Consider the following 13,783-nt stretch of genomic DNA (forward strand, 5'->3'; position numbering starts at 1 on the left):
AGAATCTAATTGAGTGCCTTGCCTGACTGTGGGTATGTTGTCCTTGAGGTAGATAACCACCCAGTTTAATCAGTTATGGCAAGGACTGGGGATTATGTGATACCAAATGTATAGTAGTTTATGAATGAAGGCTGGGCACGGTGGCTCACGCCTGTAATCCTAGCACTTTGGGAGGCTGACGTGGGCACATCACCCGAGGTCAGGAGTTCGAGACCAGCCCGGTCAACATGGTGAAAACCCGTTTCTACTAAAAATAGAGAAATTAGCTGGGTGTGGTGGTGGGCATCTATAATCCTAGCTACTCAGGAGGCTGAGACAAGAGAATGGCTTGAACCCGAGAGGCAGAGGTTGCAGTGAGCCGAGATCGTGCCACTGCACTCCAGCCTGGGCAACACAGCGAGACTCCATCTCAAAACAAAACAAACAAAAAAAAGTGTGGCGACTCTGAAGTCACGGTGCTGGGTTTGAATCCTGACTCTATCAAAGTAAATAATGGGACATTGGGCAAGTTATCCAACCTCATACCTCCATTTTGTTTCTTTAATAATGAGGATAATACTGTTATTTACATCATAGGGTTGTTGTAAGGATTAAATAATATAAGGCAACTGCTTATGGCTGGGTGTGGTAGGTCATGCCTATAATCCCAGCACAGGACTCTGGGAGGCCCAGGTGGTAGGATCACTTAAACCCAGGAGTTAAGGACCAGCTTGGGAAACATCGGGAGAATGTTTCCTATCTCCACGAAATATTTTTTTTTTTAATTAGCCAGGTGTGGTGGTGCATACCTATAGTCCCAGCTACCTGAAAGGCTGAGGCAGGAGGATTGCTGCAGTGAGCCCTGGGAGGTCAAGCCTGCTGTGAGCCATGATCTCACCACTGCATTCCAGCCAGGGTGATGGAGCAAAACCCCTCTCAAAACAAAAAACAAACAACAACAAAAAATTGCTTGTAACAGTACCTGGCAGAATTAGGACTCAAAAGATAGTATTACTACTAGTTTGACTATAACTGTTTCAGCTGCTCCTACAACAAACATGGCTGCCTGGGCCCACCCAGTTCCAGAGGAAACTGGTGTTTTCAGAGGTGGCAGGCAGAGGGTGCCGCTAACCTAGTGATGATTGATTGAGCTCCGCTAACCAAATGATTGATCTGAGCTTTACTGATGCAAACTCATATTTAATGTCTTAACTAGGACAAAATAATCTGAATGTAAATTATTAATTTCTTATGTAAGGGCCAAATAAATAAACCACTCCTTTCAAACCAAATTAATAGTAATCAGGAGCAATTTGTCATCCTATTAGCATTTGTCATTAGCAGCTAAGTGATCTCAATGTAAATAGTGTTTATGTGTGACAGGATGGCTGTCTTTTTCTCTGTAGGGGGAAAGGAGATTCTCCAGAGGCTCGAGCCTTGGCCAAACAGGTGGCCACGGCCCTGCAGAACCTGCAGACCAAAACCAACCGGGCTGTGGCCAACAGCAGACCGGCCAAAGCAGCTGTACACCTTGAGGGCAAGATTGAGCAAGCACAGCGGTGGATTGATAATCCCACAGTGGATGACCGTGGAGTCGGTAAGGGCAGCAGTGCACTATAACCTCATTAAATTGGTCTCAGTGCAAATAAGCAAGTTGTTGATAGGGGTCCTGTAACATCTGTAATTAGGTAAGGGTTCTTTAGCTGCTGATAAGTAACTGTGATTCCATTTCCAAATGCAGCCAGTAAAATTCCTGTGATGTAATCAAGAAGCAGACCAGGCATGGTGGCTCATGTTTGTAATCCAAGTGCTTTGGGAGGCTAAGGTGGGAGGATCACTTGCGCCCAGGAGTTTGAGACCAGCCAAGCAACATAGCAAGACCCTCTCTGTACAAAAATAAAAGAGTAAAGAATTGGCTGGGCATAGTGATGCTCACCTGTAGTCACACCTTTCCAGCTACTTGGGAGGCTGAGGTGGGAGGATCGCTTGAGACCAGGAGTTCCAGTCTGTAGTGAGCTATGATCACACCACTGCATTCTAACCTCAGTGACAGAGAGAGACCATGTCTCTTTAAAAACAAAACAAAAAAGAACAAAATTCTAAGTTAGTTATGCCCAGTGTTGTGAGGAGTTGGAGAATTGGGCACATATATAATTTACTGGAGAAATAAATTAGTACAAACTTTCTAAATTTGGTATTAGATGTCAAGAGCTTTAAACAAAGTTCATACCCATTGACTCAGGAAATTAAGGGTTTCTTCCCTAAGAAATAATTAGAGATCTTTCTAAGAAGTTGCATACAGGAATATATGCATACAGCATAAATGTTTAATAATAACTGACTTGTGAAATAATTATTGTTAATATGATAAAATATTACATAGATTTTAGATCATGATTTTAAAAGATAGTGAAATAAAAATAAAGTGTTAAATAAAAAGAACTGGCTGGGTGCGGTGGCTCATCCCTGTAATCCCAGCACTTTGGGAGGCCGAGGTGGGTGGATCGCCTGAACTCAGGGGTTTGAGACCAGCCTGGGCAACATAGTGAGACCCTGTCTCTCTAAAAAAAACCAATTAGCCAGGTATGGTGGTGCACACTTGTAGTTCCAGCTACTTGAGAGGCTGTGGTGGGAGGGATTGCTTGAGCCGGCAGGTCAAGGCTGCAATGAGCTGTTGTTCCACTGCACTCCAGCTTGGGTGATAGAGCAAGACGCCACATCGCACCACAGAATGGCATTGCAATTGTCTCCTCTGGGTCTTGTAAGTTTCATTGTTTTTCTCTTGGTCCAGGTCAGGCTGCCATCCGGGGGCTTGTGGCCGAAGGGCATCGTCTGGCTAATGTTATGATGGGGCCTTATCGGCAAGATCTTCTCGCCAAGTGTGACCGAGTGGACCAGCTGACAGCCCAGCTGGCTGACCTGGCTGCCAGAGGGGAAGGGGAGAGTCCTCAGGCACGAGCACTTGCATCTCAGCTCCAAGACTCCTTAAAGGTAGAAGTCAGGAGCACATATCATTTTACTTTTTATGCTTCCTATTATTGAAAGACGAGGGAAGGAAGAGAGAGTTTTGAAAAATACATAATTTCTGGGGTCTAGGGAAAATGAAAAGAGTGTGACCAAAGATATAAGGAAATCTAGAGCTTATTAGGAAAAAGCTTGCTGGTATATAGTAGCAACTAAATTTGTGTTTTCCAAATTCCACTCAGTCAAGAGCCCTTTCGTGATTTTTGCTCTATCCACATATCATCTGTACTTTTATTTAGCCAATATTTTTCTTAAAATGGACTTTTTTTTTTTTTTTAAATGGACTTCTTTTTAAAACTTAAATTTATTTAAGAGAAAACTCTGTGGGCCGGGCATGGTGGTACATGCCTGTAATCTCAGCTACTTGGGAGGCTGAGGTGGGAGAATCACCTGAACCTGGGAGGCAGAGGTTGAAGATCACGTCACTGCACTCCAGCCTGGGTGACAGAGCGAGACTCCATTTCAAATAAATAAATAAATAAATAAATGAAAGAAAACTTTGTAATCCTGAAATCTTGGGTTTGATAAGCTAGTTGTATTTTTTCTATTATCCTTTAAAAGAAACACATAATTATTAAAATAAAAACATTTGCCCATGTAACACCTAAAATTATCTCAGGTATCACCAGCTAGTTTATGCTGCCCACCTTGCAAAACAATGAGGGTGATGGAGACTTCTTTGTATATATCCAGAAAACTTAAATTGGATTAAATGTGATGACTATGAAAAAGAGCTTGTTCATGGCTTCTAAGAATACTCTTATTTAGACCCATGTTGAGAAATTGATACAGATATTTGTTATTGAGTTTTTCTAGAAAACTTAATTGAAAGAACCTGGATTAAAAAATTCCCATTCTTGATTTCTTTCCTCTTAAGACAATAAATTGCTTAGAATTTGGCACTACATCCACCAAACAATCCTTACAGTTACTGTGATCGTTATCAGGCCCCGCCAGCACTGGCAATGGTGTGGAACTCTAGCCCATCTCTGGGCCTTCTTTGGGCTCAACCTCATGATTCTCAGTATCATTTCATGGAGGCCACCAAAAAAGGAAGTAGGGTTCCTTGATTGAGTGGAACAGTCTCTAGGGACATGTGGGTCATGTCTTATTTCTACTACACCACTAATGTCTTACAGGGCAGGATTCATAAATTACACCTGTTCTGTGCTAGCTCAGTGCTTTGTACACAGTTAACAAATATTTATTGAATGAAAGACTGAATAGATGAATGAATGTCAGTGAAGTAAGGGCATTAGTAGATATGCTTTGAGGATGTATCTGGACATTTTCATATGTAAACAATGTTTTTAAGGATCTAAAAGCTCGGATGCAGGAGGCCATGACTCAGGAAGTGTCAGATGTTTTCAGCGATACCACAACTCCCATCAAGCTGTTGGCAGTGGCAGCCACGGCGCCTCCTGATGCGCCTAACAGGGAAGAGGTGGGTATCTGAGGTCTTCCATTTTTCTGTCAGCCTGTGCTATAGGTATATGTAAAGGTGAAATGTGATTACAGTGGACATCAGGATCAGTGGTTGGGAAACTGTAGATGAAGGGTGGAAGAGCAGAACAGGGAAAGCCCTACCACCTCTACTTTTAGTCTCCACGTATATCAGTGAGGAATATCTTTAGTTGCAAGCAATAGAAGACCTGACCATCAGAGATGAAAACAACCGGGTTTGTTTTCATCACAAACCAAGAAACATGGAAGTAGGTGGCTTTGGCATTGGTTCAGCAGCTAAATATCATGAAAGCTGGCATTTCTATGATTTTCTAGGTCATTTTCTCAGGGTGTGGGATGGCATCATGTTAAATGCAGGAAGAAATGAAGAATGGGGGTACTCCAGTCACAACTGTGCCTTTCGAGTCAGGATGATCTTTTTAAATCAATCGATGTCATTCTTATACTCAGACCCTTCCAATGACTCCCCGCTATCCCAGAGTAAAACCAGAGTGCTAACAATGAAGAAAATTGCCAGCGATGTGCTGGTAAGCCAACTCTCCAGGAAAACGAAAAACCTTGATTTGTAATGTTTGTTGATTTCCATTATGTAAATACTCCCACGGTGGCTGTTTCAACATGAAGTCACTGAAACCTGAGTTGGGAAGAGATGGACATGTTTCGCTCCTGTGAGCTGGCACGAGTCGGTACAGGTGGCTTTAGCACACCACTGGATCTGGTCCCCATCCATTTCTTTGCTCTCGTGTGGTACCACTCTTCCCCCTCATGCTACATCTGTATGTACCTCCTTGAATTGTATTCCTAGTGTGTATTTATATGTTCTAATCTTGGGGCCTTTGCACTCGTTTGTTCCAGTCTTCTCCAGATAACCATATCTATTAGTTACTGTCTTTCTTCAGCTTTCTACTGAAATGTCACTTTCGGGTGACCACTAAGATAACACCACCACCCCAACTACTATCCCCATGGATTTCTTCATCTCCATATCCTACTTTTTCACTTAGCATTTATCAACATTTAATGTATTTACCCATTTTTCATTTTTGGTTTGTCTGTCTCCCTCCCACTACCATGAAAGCTCCATGCAGGGAGGGACTTTATTCTGTCATTGCCTTATTCCCCCTTCTTGGAACAGTGCCTGCCACATTGTTGGTGCTGAATGAGTGAAAATAGAGGCTTTCTTAGAAATTGTCCAGGAGAGCTTTGCTATGCCTCATTGGCTTGAACTCTGTCTCATGGCCACCCTAGCTGCAAAGGAGTTTAGGAAAGCAAGTATTTGGTTTTCCAGCCTTTATAGTATTGGCAGCGAATGAGAAGGGGTTTGGGTCAGGTACCCAAGACAGTGTAGAACTGGTAGGTGGAGGTTTTTGTTATTATGTGCTGATTACCCCAGTTTTCTTTCTGTAACCTGAGTTACTAGGCAGTTCAGCTGATTGTTCCCTTAGGCTGAGATGATTTGCTATTTTTTTAATTCCAGACTTCTCTTTCAGGCTAGTAGATACATCTAGGTGGGCCTCTCCACCTACAGTCTTCCTAGTTACCTCAGCATATGTTGTCCTTCTGTTCTCTCTCAGAAATTTGTGAGTTGTCATTGACTTTTCCCTTCCCCACACCCGTTCATACAAATAAACAACTAAGGCACACTCATTTAATCTCACATCCATTTTCTGTTCATATTGCCAGAGCTCTAATTATTTTCCTAGTCCCCTAGTCCCCCTAGAGCTATGACTGCATAGCTCTAACTGGTCTTCTTTGACTCTTTCACTAGGCCATCAATCAAATAAAAATACAACCTGACTCTGACATTCTCCTGCTTAAACCCTTCAGTGGGGCCTGTACTTTCACAGAGGATAAGGCCAGGGCTCTGTGATCTAGCTCTGACACTTCCCATACCTGTTTCCTACAAACCCCTCCCTCTCATTTCTGGCCCTAGCTATACCTAGTTGCTTGTGGTTTCCTGCACAGTCTGTCTTTTCCATGTCTTTGTTTTTTCTGTGTAATTATCTTCCCCTTCTTTTTTGGTGAATTACTATTTATCCTTCATCCTATTATCCTTTGTTTCCTAGAGAGGTTAAGTGCTTTTTCTTTTGCTCCTACCTATAGTATCAGTGCTTAGCTCTATTATTGTACATAGCACACTGTATTGTAAATCTGTTTTCGAGTGCTTTTTTCTCACTGGGCTGTGAGTTCCTTGAGATGAGGATATTGTGTTTTACTCATTTTTGTGTCCTCAGCACCTGTCTCAGGGTCTGGCACATAGTAGGTGCTCAGTAAATTTTGGTTGAGTGACGAGAAAAGCAAGTTAAGCAGTTAGTTAAATCAGAAGGAGCAGCAGTCATGGTCTGGCATTGAGATGGTCAACCAAGGATATTAGGTAGGTAAAAGCCCAGGAGATCCAGAGTGTGGGAGACCAGCTAGGGTAAAAGAACTGAGGCCACGGGAAGGAGGCTAGGAGATCAGGGATTTTAGGCAGAGATTCTCAGCATTAAATGGCAGGAACCCATGTAGTTAAATCCAAACAAGAGGCTGGCGTGGGGAAGAGACTTGAGAAGATAGACACAGAACACTGGCAATGATTTGGAACCTGCTATTGAACCAAGAGACCTTTAGAGATTGTCTAGAGCCAGAACTGATCTCCAAGTTAGGCAGAAGTTGACAAAAAAGAGGACGCATTCCACTAGGCAGCTCCAGACATGTTCGTGTAGTGTATAAACCTGACCCAGTGCTGTTGGGAAGCATCAGTTCTAATAATGCAGTAAGTAAGTAACTGAATGTGAAGACTAAATAAACCCCATTCTCCAAAGCTTATCTTCTAGTTTGAAGAAGATAAGCTTTTGCAAGAATCTATTCTAACAAATGACCAAAGATCTCTTGCTACTTTAAGTTTAATAGTCCCCTCCACAGTATGCAACCTTGCACAGTATCCCTGTTAAAGGAAACATTAACTTTTTTAGAATTTGAGAGCTGAATGAACAATTAAGTAGATGATTTTGCATTTGGGGTTAATAAAAGTCAGTCATCCTTGCCCTGAGGCCTGAGTGTGAGCACCAGCTATCATTTTTCCCTTGGAGGTCAATGGCAGAGTTTTTACAACATTAATGGTAATGGGATATATGAAGGATGCTGCTCTGGGGAGCCTGGAGCTCAATTTAGGACTGTGTGGATGTTCTGGGCTTTTAATGTACCCAGCTGCCTACAATAGAGCCTGGAGTGGGCTTGACTGTCTTCTTCAAACTAGAAGATAAGCTTTTGAGAATGGGGGTTGTTTAGTCTTCACATTCAGCAAATTACTGCAGAGTATATAATGCTCCTGCTTGTACCTGGTAAGCACTGGTTGAACTGGAAATGAAGGTTATGTGCGTGTGTGTGTGAGTGTGTTTGTGTGCATTTGCACATGATGGTGATGGCTAAACGTCTGAGGAGATCCATCAAGGCCAGGATTTGGAGTTTGACTGTTGTTTTATTAACTAGGGTTTGATGTCATCTCTAAAGTCTTTGAGCAGTTGCTGCCCTTCTTAAAGGATGAAACTTTTTCTTAGGCTGCCTGACCCATTTTATTGAAATAAATGTTCTTAATATCTGTTTTTTCCTCAAGGTATTTGATGAGAGGGCAGCTAACTTTGAAAACCATTCAGGAAAGCTTGGTGCTACGGCCGAGAAGGCGGCTGCGGTTGGTACTGCTAATAAATCAACAGTGGAAGGCATTCAGGCCTCAGTGAAGACGGCCCGAGAACTCACACCCCAGGTTGGGTTTTGCTCATTCCTCATACAGTGTTCAGTAAAGAAAGTTAATTACAGAACAGTTTCTATACATTTTTGAATACTTACCGTAAGATGGCATAAAAAAACATATACAGGCCAGCACGGTAGCACCTATAATTCCGGCACTTTGGGAGGGTGAGGCGGGAGGACTGCTTGAGCCTGGGAGTTTGAGACCAGCCTGGGCAATACAGCAAGACCCCGACTCTACCAAAAAAAAAAAAATTAGCTGGGTGTGGTGGCGCATGCCTGTGAACACAGCTATTTGTGAGGCTGAGGTGGGAGGATTATTTGAGCCCAGAAGGTTGAGGCTGCAGTAAGCTTTGATTGCCCCACTGCCCTCCAGCCTGGGGTGACAGAGCAAGACCCTGTCACCGTCTTTATACATTTTCATAACATTTGAATTTTTTTTTACAAGGACTATTTATTAGTTTTTTTTTTTTTTTTTTTTTTTTGAGACGGAGTCTCGCTCTGTCGCCCAGGCCGGACTGTGGACTGCAGTGGCGCAATCTCGGCTCACTGCAAGCTCCGCTTCCCGGGTTCACGCCATTCTCCTGCCTCAGCCTCCCGAGTAGCTGGGACTACAGGCGCCCGCCACCGCGCCCGGCTAATTTTTTTTGTATTTTTAGTAGAGACGGGGTTTCACCTTGTTAGCCAGGATGGTCTCGATCTTAGTTTTGAAAGTAGAAAAAATTAGTAAAGCAATCCCCTTGCCACATACACACATAACTAGGAAAATATTTGGATAATCTTTTTTTTTTTTTTTTTTGAGGGACAGAGTTTCGCTCTTGTCACCCAGGCTGGAGTCCAATGGTGTAATCTCAGCTCACTGCAGCCTCCACTTCCTGGGTTCAAGTGGTTCTCCTGACTCTGCCTCCTGAGTAGCTGGGATTACAGGCACCCGCCACCATGCCCGGCTAATTTTTCTATTTTTTAGTAGAGACAGGGTTTCTCCATGTTGGCCAGGCTGGTCTTGAACTCCTGACCTCATGATCCGCCCACCTCGGCCTCCCAAAGTGCTGAGATTACAGGCATGAGCTACTGCGGCCGGCTTGGATAATCTTAAGAGGCTACTTTGTTTTGATTTTGGAGTTTATATCTTTTCTCCACATCTTTGTGAGAGTTTTTTTTTTTTTTTTAAATTGATCTGTTTCTATAACTTTCTTTTTTCTACTTATTGTGTAACAAGGCATGGCTAGTAAGTTTGGGAGCAAAGGAAGATTGGGAAAAAAAACCAAACTGTACAGTTATTAAAAGTTTACTATGTGATAGGTTTTCTTAAAAATATTAGCTCAACATTATTTAGTGTGATGTTTGTGCAATTTTTCTTCTATTCAAATTATAGAAAATTCATTATTTTTTCATTTATTTATTCAGACATTTACTGAGTGCCTATGATACATTCGAAACTATGCTAGGCTTTATAAATTTGTGATACTGGCTTATGTGTGAACTTGTGAGGAGATATGGGGGAAATAAACATGTCTCTGAATCATTAAACTTTTGCCTGTGTGGCGTGTTAATAAATTAGATCCTCTTGTCCAACTTTTTAACTTGTCCAACTTTTACACAATTTTTCATAAGCTACAAACATGTCTAACACTCTTTAAAAGCTCCCATAAAACATGGAACATAAAATACAATTTCAATATGAAACTGAGATTCCTAAAAAGGAGGAACAGGAATCTAGGCTTATAACACCAATTATAGATAAAATGAGGACTCTGGAGACAGATTTGGACTTGAGACCTCTGTGAGTTTTTTTTTTTTTCCGAGACGGAGTCTTGCTCTGTTGCCCAGGCTGGAGTGCAGTGGCATGATCTTGGCTCACTGCAACCTCCGCCTCCGGGGTTCAAGCGATTCTCTTGCCTCAGCCTCCCCAGTAGCTAAGATTACAGGCGTCCACCACCATACCCGGCTAGTTTTTTGTATTTTTATTAGAGATGGGGTTTCACCATATTGGCCAGGCTGGTCTCAAACTCCTGACCTCAAGTGATCCACCCGCCTCGGTCTCCCAAAGTGCTGGGATTATGGGTATGAGCCACTGCACCCGGCCGACTCCTCTGTGCTCTTGATGCTTAGTCTCTCATCTGTAAAATGGAGCTAACTCCTTCCTAATGGACTCTATTTGGATTAAGAATATGCATGTACAGCCTGTATCTTACCAGATACGTGGCAAATGTTAATCCTTTTTTCCCCAAATGCTGTAACTGACTGGCCAGGACCTCTTGAGCAGTCACTTAAATTTTCTGAGACTTGGTTTTTGCATCTCTAAAGTAGAGATATTAACTGTCCTGTCTCATGGGGTTGTTGTGAGGATTTTTTCTTCATATTATTCATAAATCAGTTTTGAGTACTTTTCGGTATCCTTCTTAATGGTGATTTTTAAGATGGAAGAGTTGACATCAAGTGTTTAAACATATGCCAGTTTTGTGTATGTTCTTCTGAAGTATCAAGTGGACACTCATTTACTTTGTCACTTTATTACCTTCTTAAAATCAGGCTGTGATGGTAAAACCTTCCTGTGAAGGGCCCATTCTGGGGAGCTGTTTATTGAGACCAAACCTCATGTATTCAGCCTGAAAAGAGACTTGCCACTTTCTGGCTTTACAGTGCCATCTGTAGGTAAAGAGGAGAAAGCTTGGCTGAAGGTTTGTATCTGGAGAGCAAGGGTGCTCTGGTGTTTAAAGGTGTTTTGTCATTGTCAGGTGGTCTCGGCTGCTCGTATCTTACTTAGGAACCCTGGAAATCAAGCTGCTTATGAACATTTTGAGACCATGAAGAACCAGTGGATCGATAATGTTGAAAAAATGACAGGTAGAGTTTTCTATACAAATCTTGTTGTCTAATCCATGAAGAATGAGTTCTGAGAAATTGGAGCGGGACTGGTTCTGTTACTCAGCTGTAATTGGATAAAGGGCCGGTCACGTGCTGAGCAGTGTACTTGGCTCTGCTTAAGGCTGCTGAGCAGTGGCGGCTTCTCATTCAAGCCTTGCAACTTTGTCAGAAGAGAGACTCTTTGAGTCTCTTTTATTTTAATGCTGCCCTCCTGGCGTGATGTTTATTGTCACCACTCCTATCTTCTCTTTGAATAGTGTCTTTGCCCAGTCCGAGCCCGAGTTTGGTTTCAGAGGCTGGGAGGCGGTGTTTGTGGATACAGTAAGTGTCCCTGTCATTTTCAGTGGGTTCACATTTCAAGGAACCACAATAGCTACCATTTAATACAACTTGTCTCAAAGTTTCCTCCAACTTATCAACTACGTAGTTTTTTTAAAAAGGAGAAACCAACCACCAGCAAACCTGTGTCTGTGCAATTGAAGTGGCACCTCTGAATCGTCTTCATTCTCTGTAAAGGGAGAGATAGGAAAGAAGGAATGAGGAATGTAGGCTTTTTGCTGTCCCTGCAGAACCTGCTGTGACTGGGGTCCATGGCAGCCCGAGATGAAAGTGGAACTCCTGAGGTGTCTGAAGAGAGGTAACAGGAATAAGAAATAGGCTGTTAGGGTTATTGGAATCCTCCGCATGGCTCATCTTGAGCACTACAAGCTGCCAACAAGCAACAGATGGCTGGGGAGTGAGAGGGACAGGGAGAAAATATTATTCACAGATAACGTGGTGGTGATGCAGTGATGGTTTCAGACATATTCCTTGTTTCCTCCCGATGTTGCATTTCTGGTTGTCTGGGGTGGATACAAGAAGGCTGGCAACCACGGTTGGTATAAATGCTGCAAATCCAGATGGGCTTTTGGGCTATGTCCTCACTGTTTTTTTTAACTGTGGTGTTTACCTGGAAGCTTTTGATTATGTAGGAAGAGTTTGAGCTGAAGAAGAGAATTCTGGATGTTATACTTTCTCATGAGAAGTTTGAGTGGATAACAGTGTTTTGGAGTTTCTGTTCTTCTAAATTGAAACTAAATTCCATTTCTGTTTTCCTAACAGGGCTGGTGGACGAAGCCATTGATACCAAATCTCTGTTGGATGCTTCAGAAGAAGCAATTAAAAAAGACCTGGACAAGTGCAAGGTAGCTATGGCCAACATTCAGCCTCAGATGCTGGTTGCTGGGGCAACCAGTATTGCTCGTCGGGCCAACCGGATCCTGCTGGTGGCTAAGAGGGAGGTGGAGAATTCCGAGGATCCCAAGTTCCGTGAGGCTGTGAAAGCTGCCTCTGATGAATTGAGCAAAACCATCTCCCCGATGGTGATGGATGCAAAAGCTGTGGCTGGAAACATTTCCGACCCTGGTAAGCAATGCATGGCACTATGTCTCACCTCCACTGAGAGGTTAACTCAGGAAAGGTCGTGAGGGAATATGTACCCCACAACCACCACATACAAAGTCTGGGGGCAAAAACTATAGACACTTAGTTTGAGAATGCTAGATTAATCTTTTTCCATCCAAGTCTCTGCAGTTATCAGCAGGCTTGTTGTATGTTAGTTTTTCTGGACCAACTTCTCTGTGCTTTCTTTTTTTTTTGAGACTCTCACCCAGGCCAGAGGGCAGTGGCATGATCTCAGCTCACTGAAACCTCCACCTTCTGGGTTCTAGCGATTCTCCTACCTCAGCCTCCCGAGTAGCTGGGATTACAGGTGTGTGCCACCATGCCTGGCTAATTTTTATGTTTTTAGTAGACAGGGTTTTGCCATGTTGGCCAGGCTGGTCTTGAATTCCTGACCTCAGGTGATCCACCCGCCTTGGCCTGTCAAAGTGCTGGGATTACAGGTGTGAGCCACCGTGCCCAACCTCTGCGCTTTTTTAGTGCTGGGATTACAGGTGTGAGCCACCGTGCCCAACCTCTGCGCTTTTTTTTTTTTTTTTTTTTTTGAGACGGAGTTTTGCTCTTGTTGCCCAGGCTGGAGTACAATGGCACAATCTTGGCTCACTGCAACCTCCGCCCCCGCCTGGATTCAAGTGATTCTCCTGCCCCAGCCTCCTGAGTAGCTGGGATTACAGGCTCCCACCACCACACCCAGCTAATTTTTTGTAGTTTTAGTAGAGGCAGAGTTTCACCATGTTGGCCAGGCTGGTCTCAAACTCCAGACCTCAGTTGATCCACCCGCCTTGGCCTCCCAAAGTGCTGGGATTACAGGCATCCAGCCTGTGCTTTCTTAATATGGTCTGGCTAAATAGCTCCTCGCCTTGTTCAGTCATTATTTTGGAAAATTTTCAAAAGATGCATGATAACCAATTTACCATCCATTTAGTTTATGTAACTGGTGTTAACTTCTCTTGGGCTTTTCTTAAAATGCTTTTTTTTCTTTGTAAAGCATTCTCAGTTTCTATCAAATCTGGAGGGCTTAAGTTGATCTGTGGGTCTCCTAGGCCCTACACCTAAAGAAAATCTGGGTTTTCTTTAGGTGAATTTTGATCATATTTTTGGTACTACCATGGCAGATCATAATTGGAGCCGCTCCTTTGGTTGAAATCATCTGAATTCCTTCCTGTTTTGAACATCTGATGTTTTCAGTCTTGTCTATGAGTAGAATGCAGTCAATGCAAGAGAGTAGGAAGGAGGGGCTCCCCTATTCATCTCTGGTTCAGGCAGAATCTTTCTAATA

General features: G+C 43.1%; 1 protein-coding gene across 2 annotated transcripts in view; it reads left to right on the forward strand.

Annotated features, from left to right (window-relative positions):
- VCL (vinculin) overlaps positions 1-13,783 on the forward strand; it is a 123,248-nt gene that overhangs the window by 94,770 nt on the left and 14,695 nt on the right. For both annotated transcript variants that reach the window (NM_003373.4, NM_014000.3), the window contains exons 11-16: positions 1,386-1,576; positions 2,771-2,970; positions 4,319-4,447; positions 8,063-8,212; positions 10,935-11,043; positions 12,166-12,468. In NM_003373.4, coding sequence (NP_003364.1) covers positions 1,386-1,576; positions 2,771-2,970; positions 4,319-4,447; positions 8,063-8,212; positions 10,935-11,043; positions 12,166-12,468 — 1,082 coding nt within the window. The remainder of the gene's footprint in view (positions 1-1,385; positions 1,577-2,770; positions 2,971-4,318; positions 4,448-8,062; positions 8,213-10,934; positions 11,044-12,165; positions 12,469-13,783) is intronic.

Source organism: Homo sapiens, chromosome 10 (assembly GCF_000001405.40).
Source record: "Homo sapiens chromosome 10, GRCh38.p14 Primary Assembly".
NCBI classification, from domain to species: Eukaryota; Metazoa; Chordata; class Mammalia; order Primates; family Hominidae; genus Homo; species Homo sapiens.